Source organism: Homo sapiens, chromosome 2 (genome assembly GCF_000001405.40).
Source record: "Homo sapiens chromosome 2, GRCh38.p14 Primary Assembly".
Classification (NCBI taxonomy): Eukaryota; Metazoa; Chordata; class Mammalia; order Primates; family Hominidae; genus Homo; species Homo sapiens.
Window position 1 is genome coordinate 89,089,138 of NC_000002.12, and position 25,590 is coordinate 89,114,727.

Consider the following 25,590-nt stretch of genomic DNA (forward strand, 5'->3'; position numbering starts at 1 on the left):
TCCTGCCTTAAACAATTGCACAAACATAATTAGCAGGGACCCAAAGAAAAAACTGCAAAGCAAACACATATATCGGGGCAGAAAATAAAATAAAATGGCTGATGGATAAATAAAATGGCATTAGAGGAGAAATGACTAAGAGAAAGAACAATGAGGATGTAGTCAGGTGTGCTATGGGGGAATTCAAATGGACTATCTAGCCAAAGGCCTTATTTCCTGGATCATCTATATAGGCAGGTGGATAGATGGGACACTTACAGGTGTGCAGGAGCCAAAATGGGGCCAAGCAGTGTCTGACATGGGGCCTGCATGAAGATCTCTCCAGGCTTCCCAGCTCGGATGGGTTGGGCTCCTATGGGGGAACTGGAGCACGGAGCGGCTGGCCTGCATGAAGCAGTGGCTCTGTGGCCTCTTGCCCATCCCCAGAGCTCCAACACCTGTCAGGAAAGATGATGGTTCTTAAAACAGCCTTTGGCTAGTGTTAATAGCTCTGCAATGTTAACAACTCAGCATAAAGTCACACAGACACACAGACACTGTAGCTTTGATCGCTGTAGCGCTGATCACCGTCTCATCCTCTCTCACTGATCGCTGTCTTGCCACTTCTCCAATAGCTGTCTTGCCCATTGCTGATCACTGTGTCCATCTTCTCATAAAGTGCCATCTCTTGCTGTCTCTTGCTGTCTTGCTTCTCCGCTGTTTCCACTGTCTTACTGCCACATCAAATGCTGCTTCTCACCATCTCTAGTGGTGAGTGGCTGGCTCAATATTGATGCAAGGCAAGTCCTCAGCTTTGCTCAGGAAGGAATGTAAGAGTAAGCCAGTAATAGAAGAAAACAGCTTTATTGATGGGGCAGCAGTGTTACAGCTCTGTGACTACTCCTGCGGAGCAGGGGTAATTCATAGGCAGAGGGCCGAGAGTAGCAGCCAGGGGCATTTTTACAGTCACATTTATACCCACTTTTAATCATGTGATAATTAAGGGGTAGGTTGTTCAGAAATAGCTAGAAAATGGGTGGTGTTGCCCCAACTTCCAGGTGTTGCTATGGCAGGGGCAGGAATTTCCAGGTGTTGCCATGGCAAGCGCTGTGACTTCTGGATGTTTCTATGGCAATGGTAAACTCTCATGGCACTGGTGGGTATGTCTTATGGAGAGGTCCTTTCAGAACCCTGTTCCTGTTTTGGCCAGCCTCACATCTGGTCCTGAGCGGAGTCCTGCCTACCTCTTGCCTCAAAAGTAACAAGAAATCTGTAATGAAAATTTACCCAGACAGAAAACTCCAATTTTATATTTGGTAGTTAGTGACATGGTACTTATCAAAGTTACACAAAGATTCAAGTGAATAAAAAATACTCTCAGAATTATTATAGGAGGTCATAATGTCCTGTAGTCCAAAAATTAATATGCACATAACAAAACAAAGAAATTAAAGGCTGATATCCATTGTGAATATAAAAATAAATATCTTAAGAAAAAAAGAAAAATGCAATCCCACTGTATATCTGCACATTTAGTGAACACACATTGTAAAAAGTGTTACAGTTTTTATAAAAACTCTTGATAGGTAATTTTAATTTCTGAAAAATGTATATGAACTATAAGGTATGTTGGATCTCTTCCCCTAACTTAAAAAATATTTCTTCACATTTAAATTCTTTACCAATTTTTAATGACTTTTTATTGCTTAGAATTTTAGTTGATATAAATAAGAAATGTGTATTAAAAGCCTACCATTTTGATTTAACCTATGAAATATATTTAAATTCTTGGAAAAATCCAAAAATACCTAGAAAAGTGAGCTCTTGCCAGAAGATACACAGTTCTTTAGTGTCAGGCTGAGATTATCTCCCAGAAATAACTTTTGGCTCATATAGCTTCCAGGACACTGCAAGAATAAAAGATGTGAAGACAATGTTACTTAATTGGATTTGCAATTATTCACTATTCACTGTTAACCAATTTTATTGAAAAAAAAGATTCCAATCAAATACACTGATTTTAAGTGTACTGTTGGGTTTAATAAATAAATACATTCTTGGAAGCAAAATCAATACACACAACATTTCTGTAACTCCAAAAAGTTTTGTCCTGCTCTTCAGCAATCAACTTGCTTCCACCTCACAGAACAGACCATCCTTATTCAGCTTATTGTTAGTATAGATTCCACTATCTTTTTAAGAATTTCACATAAAGGAATATAGCACATGTTCTTTTGTGGCTGGTGACTTTCGTGCAGCATAATTGTTTCCTAGGCTCATTCATGTCGCCTTGTGTCCTCGTGATGTGTTACTCTTTACTTTTGAGTACTATTTAAATATGTAGTAATTTCACAATGTATCCCATCACCTGCTGATGACCATGTGGGTTGTTTCCACTTTGGGCTATTATGGATAAAGCTACCACGAATGGCATTATACAAGGCTTTGCATGAATATTTCTTTATTTCTTTTAGGCAAATACCTAGGAGTGCAGTTACTGGGTCTTACAGTAAGTGTTTAATACTCTGTCATACTGTTTTCCAAAGTGGTTATACCATTTTACATCTCAGCCCAGAATTGATGAGAGTTCTCAATGTTTCAGCTACTTGTTTTTAAGACTTTTTCTTAATCATCACTCAACAGTGACCAGAATGGCTAATGATCATTAAGTCATGTTTTCCTTACAATTTCCTTGACTTTTGTGGGTGCTTGACTTGTATCAGGATATTGAAAACAGGATCAATATTGTCTTAACCCCTTTTAAACACTTTTTCTAAGTAATGATATTTAGGATGATAACAGGAGATCTAAAGGGAATGTTGGGAGTAGTAACAGGCATTATCCAATATTTATTATCATACTCCTTAAGACAATACATTTTGAGTGAAATAGCATTCAGCTAGACTAGGGATAAAAAGGTTCTAATCTCAGCTTTAGCATTAAATATTAGGAAACCTCTGAGAAAACAATCCAGGAAGACAAATCAGAGGGTGTTTTGCTAGTGGAGAAGTGCTGCAACACCTAAAACCTATTAATGCCAGATTTTTGCAGTGATTTCCACTCATAAAGTTGGGTTGACTCCTAGCCTTGTTCTCCTATGTGTCTGTGTGACTTTATGCTGAGGGGATGTGACATCACAGAGGGAGAAGTGCACTTGTGTACAGAAACATGGCTTAGGAGATTGGCTTTGGATGTGGCTGCAATGAAATATATATTTTGAAGAAGTCCCCTATGAAATGTCTTATACATTGTTTCTTATGGCAGGGTGCTCGGGCTCACACCTGTAATCTCAGCACTTTGAGAGACCAAGGAGGAAGGATCACGTAAGGCCAAGAATTTGATACCAGCCTGGGCAACATAGGGAAACCACATGTGTACACACACACACACACACACACACACAATTTGTGAACAGTGGCATCACGAAGTGATTATTTATGAACAATTGGCTAAGAAAATTACAAAATAAAGCAATGTCTTCTGAGCTAACAATACTATAATAAAGATGTCAATTATTTAACTGTAGAAAATACAGAGAACATAAAATTGTCTATCTTAACCATATTTAAAAGTGCAGTGCAGTGGCATTAAGCATATTCACATGTTCTGCTATTATTACCGATACTGTCTCCAGAATTCTTTTCGTCTTATAAAAACTAATATCTATACCCCTTAAACAATACTCCCCCCGTTTCCTCTATCCTTATCCCTAGCAACCTCCATTCCAGTTCTGCCTCTATGTCAGTGACATCTTTGAAGCAGGTTCACTGTACACTGGTTACCAACGTACCTGAGCGCGAGGAACACAACACCCCCACACAGCAAGTTACATGAAGGGGGTTTATTATTACAGATAAGCAGCAAGGGATCACAAAACTCTTGGACTCATTATGGATCTGTCCCCCAAGGCATACGAAAGTTATGTGGAGCTGATAGAGTCGACTGTGTGTACCCCGCTTGCATCACAGCTCAGGAATCCGGAAAAGCAGACACTCTGGGTTTTATATCCTGGGGTAATGAGACGCACAGGGCTAACGTGCTTAAGGACATTCCATTCTATGAGAAACTGGAATACAGCACAGGTAGGCTGTTCTGGCCAGTTCCTCTCTATCTCAGGATGTTACAATTCCAGCACATTCTACAATTATTCTTGAGAACTCTTAAAATAATCAAGAAAGTGGAGAGAACTAAGTCAGCCCAGGGTCATTGGAGAACTGTCTTGCAGTTACCCCACCACCTAGACATCCCCCTTAGTAAAGCTAGCATATTTCCTACACCCACCAATGTCCCCCAAACTGAAGGCAGAGGTTTATCTTTTCAGATTGACGAAGCACCTTGATTTACACAATCTCAGTGCAGATTATTAAGCCATAGTGAGAGTACATTTCGCTGGTCTAAGGAAGGCTACTACCACTGGCAGGAGGATAAGACCCCCAAAAGCAGTGACCTAGTCTAGGATCCCATGATCAAGAAATTAAGATGCCAAAGAGGTGAAAGGGGGATCTTTCAGATGCCCCATTGTCTGCAGCCATTGAGCCTGCATCAGGATCACCTCTACTTATATTTCTAGGATACCTGAGGTGTTTATCCAGGTACAGAAGGCAGTGTTGGGTGTTGGTAATTACATGGAACATCCGTTATGTTCCACGAGAATGTGCCCATTGTCACGCTGATTGGGCAGTGAGGTTGTTTCTTGGTCAGAGTGAAGTCTCATGGAGTATCCAAAATATGACATAAATTCCTCTCAAGGGTGGCCATGGTAGCCCGAGCATCTAATAGAGTGACATATATTTAGCAGTCCAGGAAGCAAGCTATTGCCATAGTCCTTTTCTCCACACAGGGGATCCTTTAGTAGTTCAGTCACTCAGTTGCTGTTTTCCTGACCAGATGACTGGGTTGTTGAAAGTGGCCCATGATTTAATGGAAATGGAGCAAAATATAGTGTTAGGGGCAGCCTGCATGGCTGCTATCATTGTATGTAGTTTGGCCCATTGGGCAGAATGGCCATGTTTAGTGTCAATCAAAAGATGCCATCCCCTGGCTGGATGGTGGCCACACCCAGTGGACCCACTGGCATGTGTTTTGTACAATCATCAGGGCCCCATGCCATATTGACATAGGCATGTCTTTGAATCTTTGACTCTATGTGGCCAAAGGAGAAGCTGAATTGTCCCCTGTGGGTCATTTGTTCCCTTCTTGCAAGCTTGTCATTTGTTTATGGGGCACATGGGTATTGTGGCATCCTGGTTAGGGCTGATTCTTACTGTAACATTTCCATTTAGTAATTTGGATCTGTTGGGCCTGTCCAGTTTTATTGATTGTGTTTGTAGGCACCAAAGTGAGAATCTGTAGTTAAGGTAGCAGTGTCACTCCTGGTCCTCTAGCTCTGAGATACTCAGGCCCTATCAGTTTCCTACAGCAAGTAAGGAGTTGCCATTCAAAAGAGGCACAAATGGTGGCTGCTTCAGGAAACATTTGCCTCCAAAATCTAAGTCTGGTGCACCCAGTGACAATTTTACATTGCCACAGACTCCAGTCAGCATGCCTAGAAATAGTGGACACCTGGATTTACATCGAGCAAGCAGGCTCTAAAGGTCTTAAAGAAATGCCTTGGACATGTATTGTTGAATAGATTCGAAGGCTACCGTTGCAAAGGGCTCCATTCAAAGTTGTCAAATTTGTTCATGCTTTTGACTAAGGTGACCAAAAAAAAAAAAAAAAAAAAAAAAAAAAAGACTCAGGGGGACAGTGCAGCTAGGTAAGAATCCAGTGGCTTTCCCGAGCTTATTTGTCTTGCATTTTTGGTGACATGGATTGTTGTTCATATCGGCTTCCTCTGGCAGGTCCACCTGGAAAGCATTATATTTAGCAAGAATAAAGGAGGCTGTGAATGATGTCACTGCGGACTGCGTATATTCCCTGTTGCAAATGTCAAATCCATGAAGCAAAAAGGGATTTACTAGAGGTTATTAAATTCCTTACAAATTGTTGAAAAGCCTTAAAAAACAGGCTCCAGTCAAAGCCTCTAGAACAATTCCAAGAATCGTACTGCTGGCACAGGTCGGGGGAGCATCTCCTGCGCCTGAGACTCCACATTCAAGCTGTCTCTTGCAGCAGAAGAGAGAGCAGCTCTTCTCACTACTGCCCCCAGAAGGACAGCAGCTCTGGTATCAACTATCAACTGCTAGAAATCTGACCCCTTTCTCTGACTGCCCATCAGATGTGTTACTACAGAGTCGTTTTGGATTGAGATGAGGGAGGGGAAATGCCTGATCTCACTCAAATGTGCTCATTTTCCTGGTCTGAGTCACAGCCAGGCAGCACAGTCCTGTGGGCACAATATCTTCACTTGCCAGGTTCCTATAAAATGGGAGTATCTTTCTTGACTGTGGAAAATATGGAGGCGAGGAGGGTCAAGCAATAGCAAAAGGAGTACTTGGAGTTGCCTGAGCTTCCACTCTGGTTTCCCCAAATGTTTTCAATCCATTTAATTCATGATAATAAACACCTTTCTGCCTAACCAGCCATAATCGCTTTTCTTAGGTCCAAATGATTCAGTGATAAAACTAAAGAGAAAAAATAAATACACTTTTCAACGTTGAAGCTGACCAGGTGTCTGTCTCTGGTGTTTACCCCTCCACATCCCACGATGTGTTTCATCTTCCCTTTGCCTCACTGGAGATCCAAGTGCAAGTAATGCTTCACATGACTGTGATCCCTAGAACTTCATCCTGATGACTGTTGAAATCTTCTCTGAGTTTTACCAGTGGAAATGGCAATAAATAGAAAGATTCCAGAAGGTCCCCTAGGGTCCATATTTTCTGTACTTCCTCTCTAAAATATGTAAAGTCAATTATGTTTGCTCTTGCTTTATATGGGCTAGATCTATGGCCCCAGCACACATCTGAACGCCCTGTGTTGACAACTTATCCAGTATTGTATTGAGTCTGAATGGTCACATGCTTATCATATCATTTCTTCCAATTTCATGCAATAATTGTCATGTCAACTGTTTGGATTAAGAACCATCAGCCAGAAAACCACAGCCCTGAGAAAATAGAAATAGAGTATTTCAAGCTGTTCAGTGGGCATAGCAATGATGAGTCTACAGCTCATTTTCAATATATAAATATTCTGTTTATGAGAGTAACAGTGTTTCAGAGCCTCCACCACATCTGACAGCATAACAATGCAATAGCACAAGAGTTTGTGTGCCAGCGTTGCTTGACTAATAATGGGTTTTTCTTTGTCTATAGGGTAAGCTGCACCTGTGCACATGACAAGATCATGAGCTACACTTTGCTTCACTTTTTTTGAGGTCAATAAACTGCTTGATCCAAAGCCATATTATGGAAGAAATTCCTGACTCTGATGAAAACACTTGGAAAATCCTCAAATAATATTTTATGCAGAAACATAACCGAAAAAGAAGGCAAATTCATATATTGCAAATAACCAGTGCCTTCCTCATGTTGCATGAGGTCCACTAGAATCACCTGACACCAGCTGTTAGTCTGAGCCCTGATGTGTGGTACAATGTTAAGGGTTCAAGAGGCATCAGTTTTCTTGGCAAATTAGGTGTTCAGAAGAGCCAATAGCCCTGTACATCTCAGTTAGTTGAAACTCACATTACTGAGTCCCCACAGGGACCTTATTAACATTGGTTCATGAGGCTACCTGGGGAAGCTGGGAAAGGTGATTGACTGAAGTCCATGTGTTGAATCATCCTGATTATTAAAAGCCCCTGCTTGTTAATGGCATTTCACTTAATATTCACTTGGAAAGCATTTTTTTTATTATGGCTCATTTTTGAAATGTCTGGTCATAGCTTTTGCAGAATGACTTTGTCTGAAATCAGCCTGTTGCATTTATTTTAAGACTTGATGATCTGTCAAAACCAACAGCCAATATTTATTAAACTGCTGTTATCTTGCAATGGGATCATCAGATGTAACCATTGCAGTTTACCCACGGTTAGGATTTTTACATTTCCAGTGCTTCTTTGACAATGACACTAATGTGACTCTATCCAGCGTGCATTGTTGTGAGAACTCTATTTGGCCTATCATCATTGTGGGCATGAACATAATGGAGACTTTCATAGGATGCAATGGTTAATATTCAACATTAGTCAAAATTTGCTCTAGTCCTACCCTCGGAGCTCTACTGGGTTGGAAAAATATTTTAGGTAAGGACAACCATTTGGTAAAGTTTTAAAAATAAAGGCTACAAATAAATTTTCTGTAGCAAGAGTATTGCATACATAATAGAATAAATGTGCTTAAATATGAATACTATATATATTTGTAGCCAACATTTTATCAAACAAATATATATTCACTTCTATGTATCTTATATATATGCACATTTTTCCATAAATAAGGTAAATTTTAATTTTTTATTGAAATACTAGTTTTAATTCTGTTCTTAATTTTCTCTTAATAACTTCATAAATTGATCACTAAATATTCACATTTATACCACCAATTTAAGAAAAAAATACATATGTTTATATACACGTAGAGGTGTAAATACCGTATCAGGAAGCCTTTATGCATAATGATTGGTTACTGGTTAAATACACAACTCAGTGACAGAAAACAGTAAACATTTGTTTTCGTGTTCATGGATGCTCACGTTCACAATCCTCTGGCTGACCAAGGAAGGGCTCTGATGAGTCGTTCCTCTGCAGGGCACTGAGCTCACCTTCAGCCTACAGATATGAATTGTCTGAGGACAAGGCTGAACAGCAGTGACTACACATGACACAAGATTCTTGTGGCAGGTCACAGGAGTGAACAACATCCCAAATCAAACTGCACAGTTGAATTTAAGTCCAATAATTTCTAACATAGCTTCACACATTTTAAATATATTCCTTTATTTCAGTGAGTACACATTTTCAAGAAAATGTTTACTCCATTTAATTATAGAAGGGTTTGATCATTCCATGAACAAATAATTATGTTTTCAAACTTTACAATCCTGAAAATATTTGCAAATGTAAATTTGCATTAATAAGAAAATAAAGCTGGATGTGTTTCCAACATGTGGCTTCAAATATAATTTATTTAAATGGACTCATTGGGGTAAAAATCATTTTAACTTATGTAAATATCCCTTTTTGCTGTGCTTGTGTCCTATAGAGTTGCCCAATAAGAGTTCCTCCCGTGAGATTTGGAAATCAGAAAAGGAAGACTCAATATTATCCATTGGTAACTAAGACAGGTACAAGGACAGAGGTGAGGACTGGAGAAACACCTGGAAGGATGTTGCAGGAAGCTAAGAGCATCAGCACGCCTACCCCTAAGCTTCCAGACAGGACTGAGGACCACATGGTTAGAAAGCCCTTACTTTAGGGGCGGATGCATTCTGTTTTCTGAGGGAGAACCAGAGAATCCTGCCTCTAATATCAACTTTCCTGACTACTGTATCCTTGTCTTTGAAAGGCTGTAGTCTGAACGTTAATCATAGGCATTGGTTCATTCTTGTTATACCCAACAGAGCCAAGAAACCTAGTGGGGAAAGGCACTCAGGGTGCAAAATATTGCTGCTGGAATGCAATTGAAATAGGCCCTGTTATCCCATGGAACTAAGGTTTATGGTTTTTTGAATAAACTTAGAAATTGTCTCCCCCTCCCTGTCTTAAAACTCAAGATAGTTACATCTGTCTTACCTGAGTCCTTTTTTTCAGTAAACCAACCATCAGGCCTCCCAGATACTATTAAGAAGCTGAAACTTACATATCACTGAATTGGGACAGTGAGACATCAGAACCTTCACCCACTGTGATTGCATAACTGACCTCCTGCTTCTTCTTGACCAAATTATCTTCCTTACCCCTCCCTAATTCCTGTTTTCAACATTTCTTCCCTCCTATATAAACCCCTAATTAATTTTGTCAGAGAGATACAATTGAGAATGGCGTCCCATCTCCTCGGCTGCAGCACCTGATTAAAGCCTGTTCCTTGGCAATACTTGTTGTCTTCGAGATTGGCTTTCTGTGTGGTGAGCTGCAGGATCTACACCAAGTCCCTGGTATTTCAGTAAGAAAATTCTCTGCAACCTTCAGTGCTTTGGCTTATTGTAACCTGAAATCAAATTTATCCACAATTTCTGAGATAACTTGATATAACTCTAGGATTCACTTTGTCCACCACTGTTTACCAGTCTGAGCTTGCCAGCTCCCAACCCTTCCTAGTGCCAATGAACTTTCTCAAAGTGCAATAGGTAATATTTCCCTTTTTCATGGAACACTGACTTTTTCTTTGTTCTTCCAACGTACTGAAGACCACTGAGTTTTCCTGTATGCCTCATTTGGCAAATATTTCTCTTCAAATAAAACATTAAATTTAGAGATTCATCTCTACATTTTATTTAGACTTCAGCAGTTTATTCTAATTCTCTGTATTAAGACTATTCCTGCTTAGAATATCTATAGTGGCTTCTTCTGCATTATGATTTCCAACTGAAGCCATAAACTAGACTCCTCAGGTGTCATGATCTCTGTTTTTATTAAATAAGGAGAAGCATTGCTATGTCTGTGCAGTTGGTGCTGAGAAAGAGAAAAGAATTAGGGTGCAGAGGTGACTTCATGTCCCCATCTACCAACACCATCAGAGCGTGGCTGCATCTGAGGAACACTCTCAGCTGATGGAGGCATCAGGAGAAGCTGCTGGGGCAGCCCAGCCTCACACATCTGCTTCCCTGGGGGTTTATGTTTGGGTGTGTAACACTGTGGGAGGGTAACTATTATACTGTTGGCAGTAATAAGTTGCAAAATCTTCAGGCTGCAGGCTGCTGATGGTGAGAGTGAAATCTGTCCCAGATCCACTGCCGCTGAACTTTGATGGGACCCCACTTTGCAAACTGGATGCAGCATAGATCAGGGACTTAGGGGCTTTCCCTGGTTTCTGCTGAAACCAGGCTAAATAATTGCTAATGCCCTGACTCGCCCGACAAGTGATGGTGACTCTGTCTCCTACAGATGCAGACAGTGAGGATGGAGACTGGGTCATCTGGATGTCACATCTGGCACCTGAGATTGGAAACATAAAAACAAATGTCCACACAATTAATCATGTTGTAAGAGAATTTCCCTGAATAGTAAAGCAGTACTGAGCACCCTGGGCTGAGTAAACTGCTAGTGTTCTCCATCCTTACCTGGGAAACAGAGCAGCAGGAGCCCCAGGAGCTGAGCGAGGACTCTCATGTCCATGCTGTGTCCTGACTGGGTCTGATTCCTGCACAAAGTCTGACCAGCCTATTAATAAGGCTTCAGGGCAGGAGGTTGTGCTCTGGGAACATGCAAATGAGCAGGGGATGGGGCAGGCTGGGCACAGCTGCAGAGCTGGCGCATCTCAGTAACTCAGCACCAGCTCAGTGTCCCCACGTGTCCCAGGTAAGATCAAGGTAGCTCAAATTTGTCTGCAGAGAATGTGTTTCTACTGGGGACTATTTTGTTATGGGAAACATTTTATGGTTTCTTTTTGACAATTTGAAATATTCCTTGGGAGTCGATGGAGCAATGTATTTCATTGGTGTATGGGGATTATTTAGGAGAATATTCTTTTTTGTAGGAAACACATAGTAAAATTTTAGACCCTACAATTTTCAGGTCTTCAAAAGACTCTCATGTGATTTCTGTTAGGGAAGGTGGTACTTATCATATACTTGCAACATTTCTGTGAGTTTAACATTGCTCCTTTCTAAAAAAAAATTAAAAATAAAATTTATTCACATGATGCTACATATATTTGTAAATGTTAGGTAATGGTGTTATGCCATTGTTCTTACCACTGTAAGATCAAGCAATTTACTTCAGATACACTAAGTTGATACCGTGTTTCCTCAATGCATGCAGCAATTACAGATCCACCATTATCAAGAGCTCTAGGTCTCTTTAATATCCAGAGACTAAATGGGCTGCACCTTATTCCTGTTTTGCACCTTATTCCTGTTTTGGGCACCTTCATAGTCTACCTTCTTTTCTGCCATTAAGTATTATTTCCCAACATTCATCTCTCTTAGTGAGGGTGATCACTGCATGGAGCATGTCCCTGCCATGCACCATAGGTGACACTTTCTTCTTTTACTTTTTATCAGGGACATCATCCTGACCCAGACACCAAGATCCCTGTTAACATCTTTTGGAAAGAGGCACTCAATCTTTTATCAAGCAACTGCCCAGGTACATGGAGAAATCAGTTGGTTCCAGATGAAACTGGACAGGGATTTGCACTCGTTATATCTCATATCTCTAATGTGCCCAAAAATGTCCCGGCCTGGTTCCGTGGGAGGGGAAGTGGATCCAACTACATCAGCATCAGTGGGCTGCAGCCTAGGACTCCATAAAATTTTACTGATGCCTGACTAGGAGAGCCAAATCACAGTGCTGTAGCCTCTGCACAAACCTTCCTGCTGCTTTATAAGCTGCCTGAATTTTAAGGGAAATTGCTTATATTGGAAGAAAGGAAGAAAGCTCCATTTGTCCTCTAAATGTTTGCTGAAAATAAACTGACAAAAGGAAGATTAATAAGAGAAAAGGCAAACAAAATTCACTTAAAGTGCAGCAGGATATCATAGCAAGGTGATTACCCAGATAACTCAATGAGATCCAGGTGTTTATGTTTCCTTTCTAGGGAAGAGGTAATTGGGAAATGTAGGCAACCTGGAGAGAATAGATGAGAATAGAAATGCATCCTCAAAAGAACAGGTAATCACCTCCCTAGGTAAAGTATCAACTTTGAGTCTCTTCCATTTTTGATTCCTCTTTTGTGTTAATCTTCCTTGATATAAAAATTCTCAGGAAGAGTTTTCTTAAAAATTGGTTTCCTTCTGAAGAATTTGCTTTTAGGCAGGTAGGGGATATTTAGGAAAAGCCCCCTGTGCATTTCCTGCTTTCTAAATGCCTTTGGTTTTATATAATCATCATACAAATGCAGCACAGTTTGAGATGTTATTTTCTGGATTCCTTTACTTGCAACCCACCTGCCAAGATCCTGTTCCAGAGAGATGTGGCTACAGACTGAAAGAGCAGTTGTCCCCTCAACAACGTGGAGGTTGGGGCACTGACCACTGGTGCAGATGAAAACCTGTGTAGAACTTTTGCATCTCCAAGTTATGTAGTAATAGATTACTTTTGACTGGAAGCCTTAATGATAAAATAAATAGTTGATTAACCCTTTTTTATGTTATACATATTATATACTCTATTCTTCCAATAAAGTATGCTAAAGAAAAAATGTTATTGAGAAAACCTTAAAAATGAGAAAATATATTTAGTACTTATTAAGCGCTTGCTCACAGGTGACACACAGAAGAAAATATAAGTGGATCTGCAAATTTCAAACCCAAGTTATTCAAGGGTTAACTGTACCATGATGAATGTAGCAGTCCCCATCTATAGTCTAGGGCTTTTCCCTTTGCTGTATCTCTGCTCATTTCCAATGGCTATATATATGTCTTATGTGCTTCATGATCTTGGGCAGAGAGGTCTGCTTGCATGCCTTGCTGGCCAGATGGCCTGCAATGTGTATCTCTTAGGAAAGTGCTATGGTTTGACTGTGTCCTCCAGAATCCATCGTTGTAAAGTTAAATCTCAGTGAAATGGTATTGCCAGGTGGGGCCTATTGAGATGTGTTAGATCATGAGGGTGGAGCCCTCTAGTGGAATACCTTAATGCCACTATAAACAGGGTTTATGGGGCTGGAATCTCTCTGTCTCTTCTGCTGGTCTGTCATGTTAAGACATGGCCTTCGTTCCTTTGAAGGACTGAAAGCTCCAGGCGTCATCTTGAAAGCAGAGAAAGACGACCTTAACCTGCCCATGCCTTGATCTTAAATTTCCCATTCTCCAGAAATGTGAGAAAATAAATTTCTGTTCTTTATGAATTACACAGTGTCAAGGAACCTAACCTGTTATAGCAGCTTGAAAGAGAACAAGAGAGACAGCTCACAATCAGTGAGGACAGAATGAGGTGTATACATACCTTAGCTTCCTCGTCTCTCAGGTGGAATAGCCCAGAGGAATTTAGTCCATGTTTCCACATGTGGTTGATCTTCAGTTATCCTGAGTCAGGTGGGTTGTTGATGTGTCTTTTACCATTCATCTTCTGTTCCCTCCCTCACTTTCTTCCTTTCCTCCCAGTGTAAATTTGCTGCCTAAACAGGAATCCTCATTGCTGGTGGACCCAAACTAAGATAGTAAATAAAATCATTAATCTTTTGTATGAGGGGTATTTCTCATCTGAATTCTTTTATCATTTCCCTTTCTTTGACATGTAGGAATATTCAGGAAACACACAATTTTTTTTTTAACCAATCTATTTTAGATTGAATTTATGCGGTGATTTTTTGTGTGTGTGTGTTAAAACAAAAAATTACGTTGTAAGCCACTAACCAGCTGAACGGACTCCTCTTTTGGTAGAGAGAACTTCAAAGAAATCTGAAAAACTAGGTTAGGCCATGACTGGCAGGTGGGTTTAGATGTACCTCATTATATGGTCCTTCCTTTGGAGTTCAGACACAACTGACCAGCATTATCATTACAACAGAGATCTTTGGATTGACAAAACAGATGCTTTGTAGCAATAAGATACCATACTCCAACACGACAGATAATAGGCCCTGAAGAAAATCAAAATATTTTACCCTAAAAGTATTTCTTTGACATATTCTGAAGTGGCCCTGCAAGCTGCCTGTTGTGGGGGAAATTTGCATTCTGCAGAGAATCTCCTCCCCTTACTAAGTCTTTTCCAAAGAGTCTGACATTTTTTTTAAGGTCTGATAAACAACATTAGCCACCTACTTTGTTTGCTACCCATAGGATTCATCTAGGTGACAAGAACCTTTGCTTCCACACCCCCTTTTCTAAACTCAAGCATTTCTTTATGATGAATTCAAGTGTTTAGGCAGAGCTTAACTCTTTCAACCAGTTGGCAGTCAGGAAATCTTTGAATCCACCTATGACCTGGAAGCCCCTACTTCAAGCTATCCCACCTTTCCAGGACAAACTAATGTAAATCTTATATGTATTGATTTATGTCTTTCCCTGTAATTTCTGTCTCTCCAAAGTATTTAAATGTGTATTCTTGTCACCCTGGGCACATGTTTGCAGGACATCCTAAGGCTGTGTCACAGGCCATAAGCTTTGGGAAAATAAACCTATAAATTGATTGAGACCCGTCTCAGATACTGTTTTGTTTATACTGGTCACAAACTTAAAAATCCTCTAAAACAATCTACACATCAATAAATCTACATTAGAGACAGTGGAATGATCATACCTTAACAGTTAAAGCTCACAATTTAAAGGAACCTGAGTCTAAGATTTTGGCCAGCTCTCTTGCTTCATAAAAAATACTTCGTGATTTTTAAAATTTTACTTTAGAGAAAGGCAATTTGGGGGAATATATTTATTGTCAATGGGATGAATAATGTCTCTACCCTAAAAGATGTCCATGTCCTCATCTCTGGAACCCAAGTGTTACAGGAGTTATTAAGAAATTATTTTAGGCAGATAGGAAAAGAGTGTCCTTGGTAAGGTTTTCTTTCCTTTAAAGCAGCTCCAGAAACGTTTCTTGTCTAGCAGGAAAGCCCTGGCTCTTAGAGCCAGGCTGGGAAGCTTTGATTTGCAAATTCCGGCCATTAGAAACTGAGTCCAGCCAAACCTGTCAATTCCCACCATCTTCTTCCTTGCCCCCACATGTGCCTGACAACAAGGCTGCCCCCACATATCCCCATGTGTAGAGAATATTTTGGCACCCTGCATTTGCATATTAAAAGTCTTGTTGGGAAGGCCAGTTATTTTGCAGGCTTCATGAATGGCATGCCTGGTCAAACCAGTCCCTAGAGCCCTATATAAATCAGACACCACCTCCTCCAGCCTCCTCATATAAGAGCCACTTTTCTGCTGCAATGGAGTTTTGTCTTTGTTGGAATCCCTCCTCCCTCTGTCTCTGTGTGGGGGAGCTGTTTTCTTCTTCCTTCCTTCTTGCATATTAAACCTTTCTCTCCCTAAAACCACTCCACGTGTGTCTGTGTTGTTTTATCCAAAGTGGTGTGAGACCAAGAACCCTGGTGTTCCTCCAGTCAACGGAGCCGTATCATAAAAATTCTACCTTACATAGCAAAAAGAGAACTTGACAGATATAAGTGAAGAATAAGCGACCCAGTTATCTAGATGAAACCAATATGATCACAAAGGTCCTTAAAATAAAAGAGGAGGCTTGCAGTCAGAGAGGAGCTGGGACAATGGAGAGGGATGTGGTTTGAAGAGGGAACGGGTTACTCTGCTACAAAAAAAAATATGACCACGGGGGTACTTTGCTTAAAAAATATCCCAGAATGTCCTGCTATACTTAGAGAGCATTTGCTTCCCAAATAGAAAATGAAGGCCTCCTTCATTTCACACCAGTTTCTGCTACATGCACTGTATCGCTCTGTTGCTTGGTGTCTACGCACTTAGAACTGCTCTGTCTTCTTTCCGAAATGACTTTCTTCATTATGTAATGTACATTTCTGTCACTGGTAACATTCTTGGCTTTGTAGTCTACTTTATCTGATATTAGTATTTGCTACTGATTCATTTTATTAATTTTGCATACTATGCCATTTTCTTTTCTTTTATATTGAGTCTACTTCTAGTGTCATATTTGATGTGAGTGTCTTATAGACAGTATACTGTTCGGACATTCCTTTTTGATTCATCAATTGCTGTCTGTTATAATTTACTAATTTGCATATTTAATATATCGATAATTATTGATATACTAAGATTTAAGTCTTTGCTCTACTTTTTTGCTGTATCTTTTTTTGCTTCTCCGTTTTCTTTTTGCTGCCTTCCTTTGGGTTACTTGAACATTTTTAGAATTTCATTTTAATTTTACCTAATTTGAGGGTATCTCTTTTTATAGTGATTTTTAAATTGGTTGTCATGGTATTTCCTTTATATCCATAGCTTCTCACAGTATGTTGGTGTCATAATATTACCATTTAAAATAAATATAAAATTTTACCTTGTTTTATGTCATTTTTCTTCCCCCATTAGTAATAGATTGTGCACATATACTCATGTACCCTTCACACCATCTCTAGCCTACTTATAATACCTGACGCGATATGTATACATGACTTAACCTGTGTGGATTCAACCAAGTGGTACTAAGCACATGGTGAAGTCAAGTTTTTCTTTTTGGAACTTTGTGGATTTTTTTTCTATATATTTTTGATCCAGGTTTAGTTGAATCCATGGATGCAGATCCCATGGATAGAGAGATGACTATACTGCTCCTTATAACTCTGAGGATCAACTCTGTGGTTCCTCCATTCTGGGCTGGCTGAACTGATCTCTGCTGAGCCTGCTCATGTGTCTGCAGTTACCCTGTGGTTCAGTTGTGACTAGATGGTCTGATATGACTTGTTTAACCTATCTGGAAGCTGATTTGATGTGCAGGTTGGACAACATTTGGTTTCGGTTTACATAGGTCAGGGAGATGGGGCCTGTTCCCCAACCTCTATTCAGTTCGTTTCTAGATCAACTCAGGAGTTCGTCTATTCATTGTAGGTTGTTTGGGGGAAATTCCACACAGAACATTGGTAATGAAGAAGCTGAACTGCTGTCATCAGTTATTGTTATCATCTGAAATGCATCATATATTACCAAAGTCTCCCCAGGGTGGCCCAACAGTGCAGCTCAGCTCACCCCATCCAGTCACTTCCCTGGTTGCCTGCAGGTGTGAGAAAGGCAATGTGCTCAGTCACAGGAAAGACAGGGGCCCTCCCTGGTGCTGAAACCTGCAGATAGTTTTCACACAGTTTCATTCCAAAATACAAAGACTTCATTTTCTTTGTCTTTAAAATAGTTATACATTTTCTTTCTATAATGTCCCCATGCTTTTCAACTAATTTGAATTTTCAGAACTGGAAGTATTTATTATTTCTGTGTTAGATGCTCTTAGTCACTTATGGCAAGAGTGAGTTAATAGAGACAGGATATGGATTAGCCATAGAACAATACAGAAGTGTGTGGATTCAGATAGGATAAAGATCAAAGCGGTGACAAATACATTCTTTTGAAGCGGATTCTCATAGGTCACCAGTCAATGTCCGCATTCAAGGTGCGATGATGTGTCAGCTACATTGTGCAAATGGTCAGCTCTGCAGAGTAAACTTGGACAGCACACTACAGGACCAAAATTACCTGTAAAGGTATGGGGAAAATAAACCATCATAGAAAAAATAGTGTGAAGGAGTTCTCGGTTATTTATACTTGGATATCAAGCAGAACACTATAATCAATGAAGCTATAACCTAAAAACTTTAAGACTTTTAAAGAGGTTTCCCTTTTCTCAGGGTATTTCTCAGGAAAAAATTTATAAATTATGGATAAACTACTTGCACAATTAGCTACAATAAATCCCTTCCCTGCACTCATCCTTTGGTTGGCCTCATTCTAAATGGACTCAGGTGTTACCCATGTGTCTTGCTCAGGCCAATAGGATAATAGCAGATGTGACAGAATTGGAATATTGGAAAGGGCTTGCACATCGAAGCTTTCCTCTCTTTCACAGTGCTTGGAAACCCTAAGGTCACAATGAGAATAAGCCTGTGCCCATCTCCATTCAATGTCAGTGGCATGGCTGCTCTTAGGTCTATTATTTGTTCTTAAAATGTGTGTTCAGTTTGTTATAAACATGTAAGAAATTACCTGCAAATTTATCAACTTAAGACTACACCCATTTATAATCTCTCAATTTCTGAGTCAGCAGTCAGCACATGGCTTTGCTGGATCCTGCCCATTGGATTTCACAAGACTGTGCCACAGTGTAGACTGTTCTTCATTCTCACCTGAGACTCCCTGAGAAGAGAGATATTTTAGAGCTCTTTCAGGTAGTTGCAGAGCCCATGCCTTAGCACCTCTGTGACTCAGGGCTTCAGCTTCTTACTGGCTCTTGGCTCAAGGCTGCTCTCAGGTCCCAGAGGCTGTGGACAATTCCCTGCCATGTGATGCTCACACAGGCAATGCCCACATGGCTGGTTGTTTGTTCAAGGCCAGCAGAAGGTTTCAGAGAGTGTCTCTTTCCAGTCTGCTATGACAGAGGCTTACAGAATACAATACAATCATTGGAAAGACATCTCATAACCTCTGCCATACCATATGGGTTAGAAGCAAGCCTAAGTTCTACCTGTTCTCTGTGGAGGTAGATCACACAATGCCATGACTCACTGGAGACAGGTTTCTGCTAGGGTGTTCTGGCATCTTTAGTTTCCTCAAATATCAGGGTACTCGTACTGAGTGTGAAATCTCTCCTACATCTACTTCATCGTGCTGTGTCTGACTGATCAGACATTTGACACATGACTTTTTTTTTTTTTTGTGACGGAGTCTCACTCTGTCGCTGAGGCTGGAGTGCAATGGCATCATGTCGGCCCACTGCAACCTCTGTCTCCTGGGTTCAAGCAATTCTCCTGCCTCAGCCTCCCGAGCAGCTGGGATTACAGGCACCCACCACCATGCCAGGCTAGTTTTTATATTTTTAGTAGAGACGGGGTTTCACCATGTTGGCCAGGCTGGTCTCAAACTCCTGACCTCCGGTGATCCACCCATCTCGGCGCCCCAAGATGGGATTATAGGGATGAGCTACCATGCCTAGCCTACTTTAGTTTTTAAGTAGATTTAATGAAATCTATTTAGTAGCCAAAAGCCAAGAATGCCAATAGTTTTACCTGGCTACTCTCTGAAACAATGGTATTAAAAAGGGTCTTTCCAGCCCCTTTCCAGCAGAAAGACAGGTGCTAAGAAACAGTGGAAGTGTGAAGGTGGGGGAAGGGACTGAAACAGTTTTTATATACCTAAACTAACCCAGCTGCATGTAAACCAGTAACTACTCATCAAAATAAAATACAGAAAGCATATTAGTTTTGGTTTGGTGTGAACCAGCCTTAAATACAAAGTTGTTACACTGAATGGGTTTAATTGACCAAAATGCGTAGGGAAGGCAGAAAGGATTAGGATGCCCTTCTACTCAGCTTTATCTGCTGTCAAGTCTGGTTCCTCAGGGGACACATGGATCCCCTCCATTGTCCTGCAGATTCTGCCAGGCCAAGGCTGTTAAATCTGGCGGGGTCTCATGTGTGGACTTCTGGGTGTATACAGGGAGAAACTAGAGAAAGGCCGAGCAGATTTTTACTGCATGTAGGTAATCTACGTGGGCTTTTAGAGAAAAAAGGCTTTAGATAAAAAGTGTTTGACAAAGTCACACATGGTTTGTAAAAAAACAAAAAATAAAATACAACTTGAAAACTCTTGGAGAAGTGACACTTTAGTTTCCCAAATCACTCTTCTTCATACACTTCCACTTAGCTTTTTTTCACCTTCTAGCTCTGTGGTCTTAGAAGGACATGCACTTAAAATAATTTGTTTCCATAGGAATCCAACAAGTAAAAGCATAAACAACATCAAATAAACTACATCATTAGCATAGAAGCATGTCAAAGAAACTGAGATTAGATTTTGAGTTTTGGCACAAGTATTAGAGAAATAGAGAAAAGATTTAAAAGATAGAATAAGACTTACACAAGAAAGCAGGACAGCAATACGACAATTGAACCTATCATAGAATAATAGGTTGTGATAATGGATGGTGAGAAGAAATGCATTGGACAGACATGCATGGGCATGATTGATTTGAGCAATTTAGCATGGATCAAGACAAAATCTTTAGGATTTAAAGGGCTGTGAGCTGGGTAGTAAAAAGCCCCATTTTAGCACCTCTTGGGGCTGTAGATGGAAAGAACTTGGATTTAAAACTATTTTCAATAAGTGTCTGCTAAGTGCTAAGTATTATAGCTATAAGGATACCTAAATTAATAGAAGCACATATTATCTGTTGGATATATTCTAAATCTTTTACCTTGTTTAAATTGTAAACCGACCTATGAGGTAGAACCTATTATTGTCACAGCATTGCGGGTATAGAAAAGGAGGCAAAGGGGGGTTAAGTTACTTTACTAATGTCACACAACATGTAAGCGGTAAAGCTCCATCCCCAACCCCAAGGGTTTGACTTCAGGGCCTGCCAAGACAACATCTGGACTGTTGCATGGATCTTGCCTGGCTGTACATGAAGCTCTAATTCCAGGATGGATGAAGATTCCATTAGAACTTGGAGTAGCATTAATAAAATTGCTTCCTTGAGACCAGGCGAAGTGTCCAGAAAGCAAAGGAGTTTAACTGCTTAAAGGAAAGGTGCAGATTTGTAGGAAATGAAGCTCTGGACTGTGAACAGAGTTTTTCAAAACAATTAAGGAGAAGAGAAATTGAGTCTAGTTTGATAGATGTGTTGTGCAGAGTGAGTGTAGTGGAGATTAGAGAATCAGCCAAGGAATTATCCCCTGCCTTCATGGATGGCATCAACATCTGTCTTCATGGCAATTGTATTGGCAGCCTGAGTGTCAGAGCCTGGGTCCTGCCCATCCATGCAGCTGTGGTCACCTTTGCACCTGCAGTGCTGGAGTTACTTGAGTGTTACTCTTTGAGGTAGCTTCAGGACACTTGGTAAAAATCACTAAGTGGCAAGTGAAAGGCTTGGAAGAAAAGTTCTAATCAGCTCTTCATTCCCACCTGATGCAATTTTTGCTGCTGCTGGGACCCCAAGTTCTTTGTCTCCTCCCCGCCGCTTTTTTTTTTTTTTTTTTTTTTTTGAGACAGAGTTTTGCTTTTGTTTCCCAGGCTGGAGTACAGTGGTGTGATCTCGGCTCACTGCAACCTCTGCCTCCTGGGTTCAAGTGATTCTCCTGCCTCAGCCTCCCAAGTAGCTGGGATTACAAGTGTGTACCCCCACGCCTGGCTAATTTTGTATTTTTAGTAGAGATGGGGTTTCACCATGTTGGTCAGGCTGATTTCAAACTCCTGACTTCAGGTGATCCACCCACCTTGGCCTCCCAAAGTACTGAGATTATAGGTGTGAGCCATCGCGCCTGACCCCTTGCCTCTTTTGTAAATAGAAATCAACACCAGGCCAAACAGAAATTGTCTCAGGCAAGGTTTAATAGGTTTGTGGCAAGAGCAAAGCAAGGGAGCAGCCTATGGGTAAGAGATCCTGGTGGCTATTCCTTGAAGTGCCCAGCTCTTACCATTTTAAGGAAGCTGAGGCGGAAAAAGGAATGACATACAAGCATGGTTAGGCAAAGTTTTCTTTGCATTTGTGCAGTGGAGCGTCATGCTCTAACATATATAACATGGTGAGGAAATGGAGGATAAGCCCTGCCTTGGGTGGATATTTTAGTATTACAATGAGATTATAATGAGGAAAAATCAGTGAAAGGTCAGTTCTGGGGACCATCCCACCTTCAGCTGGCTAGATCTCATTTGGTGCTTTGGGGAAATGCCAGCTCTATCAGCAACCTTGGAAGATGGTCAGGTTCTTATCAGGAATGTTAGAGTTCCACTTTAGAAACCTTGGGAGGCTGGGCACAGTGGCTCACGCCTATAATCCCAGCACTTTGGGAGGCTGAGGAGGGCAGATCACTGGAGGTCAGCAGTTTGAGACCAGCCTGGCCAACATGGTGAAACGCTGTCTCTACTAAAAGTACAAAACATAGCCGGGCATGGTGGTGTGCACCTGTAGTCCTAGCTACTCTGGAGGTTGAGGCAGGAGAATCGCTTGAACCTGGAAGGCATAGGTTGCAGTGAGTGTAGATCGTGCCACTGCACTGCATCCTGAGTGACAGAGTGAGACTCTATCTGAAGAAAAAAAAAAAATGAAATCTTGAGATACTCAGGCCCTATCATTTTCCTACAGCAAGCGAGGAGTTGCCATTCAAAAGAGGCACAACTGGTGGCCACTTCAGGAAACTTTTGCATCCAAAAGCTGAGTCTGGTGCACCTAGTGACATTGCCACAGACTCCAGTCAGCATGCATAGAAATAGTGGATACCTGGATTTCCATCGAGCAAGCAGGCTCTAAAGGTCTTAAATAAATGCCTTGGACATGTATAGTTGTATAGATTCCAAGGCTACCGTTGCAAAGGGCTCCATTCAAAGTTGGCAACTTTGTTCATGATTTTGACTAAGGTGACCAAAAAAAAAAAAAAAAAAAAAAGACTCAGGGGGACAGTGCAACTAGGTGAGAACCCAGTGGCTTTCCTGAGCTTATTTGTCTTGCATTTTTGTTGACATGGATTGTTGTTCACATTGTCTTCCTCTGGCAGGTCCACCTGGAAAGCATTATATATTTAGCAAGAAAAAAGGAGGCTGTGAATGATGTCACTGCGGACTGCGTATATTCCCTGTTGCAAATGTCAGATCCATGAAGCATAAAGTGATTAACTAGAAGATATTAAATTCCTTACAAATTGTTGAAAAGCCTTAAAGAACAGGCTCCAGTCAAAGCCTCTAGAACAATTCCAAGAATCATACTGCTGGCACAGGCTGGGGAGGAGCTCCTACTGCTTGAGACATTCAAGCTGTCTTTTGCAGCAGAAAAGAGACCAGCTCTTCTCACTACTGCCCCCAGGAGGACAGCAGCTCTGCTATCAACTCTCAACTGCTGGAAATCTGACCCCTTTCTCTGACTGCCCATCAGATGTGTCACTACAGAGTCGTTTTGGATTGAGATGAGGGAGGGGAAATGTCTGATTTCACTCAAATGTGCTCATTTTCCTGGTCTGGGTCTCAGCCAGGCAGCACAGTCCTGTGGGCACAATATCTTCACTTGCCAGGTTCCTATAAAATGAGAGTATCTTTCTTGACTGTGGAAAATATGGAGGCGAGGAGGGTCAAGCAATAGCAAAAGGAGTACTTGGAGTTGCCTGAGCTTCCACTCTGGTTTCCCCAAATGTTTTCAATCCATTTAATTCATGATAATAAACACCTTTCTGCCTAACCAGCCATAATCGCTTTTCTTAGATCCAAATGATTCAGTGATAAAAGTAAAGAGAAAAAATAAATACACTTTTCAACGTTGAAGCTGACCAGGTGTCTGCCTCTGGTGTTTACCCCTCCACATCCCACTATGCATTTCATCTTCCCTTTGCCTCACTGGAGATCCAAGTGCAAGTAATGCTTCACATGACTGTGATCCCTAGAACTTCATCCTGATGACTGTTGAAATCTTCTCTGAGTTTTACCAGTGGAAATGGCAATAAATAGAAAGATTCCAGAAGGTCCCCTAGGGTCCATATTTTCTGTACTTCCTCTCTAAAATATGTAAAATCAGTTATTTTTGCTCTTGCTTTATATGGGCTACATCTATGGCCCCAGCACACATCTGAATGCCCTGTGTTGACAACTTATCCAGTATTGTATTAAGTCTAAATGGTGACATGCTTATCATATCATTTCTTCCAATTTCTTGGAATAATTGTCATGTCAATTCTTTGCATTAAGAACCATCAGCCAGAAAACCACAGCCCTGAGAAAATAGAAATAGAGTATTTCAAGCTGTTCAGTTGGCACAAGAATGATGAATCTGCAGCTCATTTTCAAGATATAAATATTCTGTTTATGGAAGTAACAGCACCATTCATGATTAGTGTTTCAGAGCCTCCACCACTTCTGACAGCATAGCAATTCAATAGCACAAGGGTTTGTGTGACAGCTTTGCTTGACTAATAATGGGTTTTTCCCTGTCTATAGGGAAAGCTGCACCTGTGCACATGACAAGAGCATGAGCTACATTTTGCTTCACTTTTTTTGAGGCAAATAAGTTGCTTGATCCAAAGCCATATTATGGAAGAACTTCCTGACTCTGATGAAAACTCCTTGAAAATCCACAAATAATATTTTATGCAGAAACATAACCGAAAAGGAAGGCAAATCCATATATAGTAAAATAACCACTGCCATCCTCATGTTCCATGAGGTCCACTAGAATCACCTGATACCAGTAATTAGTCTGAGCCCTGATGTGTGGTACAATGTTAAGGGTTCTGGAGGGGTCAGTTTTCTTGGCAAATTGGGTGTTCAGAAGAGCCAGTAGCCCTGTACATCTCAGTTAGTTGAAAGTCATATTATTGAGTCTCCACAGGGACCTCCATAACACTGGTTCGTGAGGCTAGCTGGGAAAGCTGGAAGAGGTAACTGAAGTCCATATGTTGAATCATCCTCATTATTAAAAGCCCCCTGGTCGTTAATGGCATTTCAATTAATATTCACTTGGAAAGCTTCTTATTCTTGATTATGGCTCATTTTTGAAACTTCTAGTCATAGCTCTTACAGAATGACTTTGTCTGAAATCATCCTGTTGCATTTCTTTTAAGGCCTGATGATCTGTCAAAACCAACAGCCAATATTATTAAACTGCTGTTCTCTTTGCAACGTGATCATCAGATGTAGGCCTTGCAGTTTACCCACTGTTATGAGTTTTACATTTCCAGGGCTTCCTTGACAATGGCACTGATGTGACTCCATCCAGCATCCATTGTTGTGAGAACTCTATTTGGAATATCATCATTGTGGGCATGAACATAATGGAGACTTTTATAGGATGCAATGGTTAATATTCAACATTAGTCAAAATTTGCTCTAGCCTTACCCTTGGAGCTCTACTGGATTGGAAAAATATTTTAGGTAAGGACAACCATTTGGTAAAGTTTTAAAAATAAAGGC

General features: G+C 40.7%; 1 gene segment (V, D, J or C) and 1 further gene, besides 2 other annotated features; one reads left to right on the forward strand and one right to left on the reverse strand.

Moving 5' to 3' along the window:
* Window positions 1–25,590, forward strand: part of IGK (immunoglobulin kappa locus) — a 1,378,008-nt gene that overhangs the window by 231,777 nt on the left and 1,120,641 nt on the right.
* IGKV1-16 (immunoglobulin kappa variable 1-16) lies at window positions 10,722–11,197 on the reverse strand. The segment is given in 2 exon segments: window positions 10,722–11,017; window positions 11,143–11,197. Coding segments are annotated over 2 exon segments (351 nt in total), but the record flags the coding sequence as incomplete, so codon positions are not given.
* Window positions 11,007–11,017: a sequence feature (IGKV1-16 leader sequence).
* Window positions 11,143–11,197: a sequence feature (IGKV1-16 leader sequence).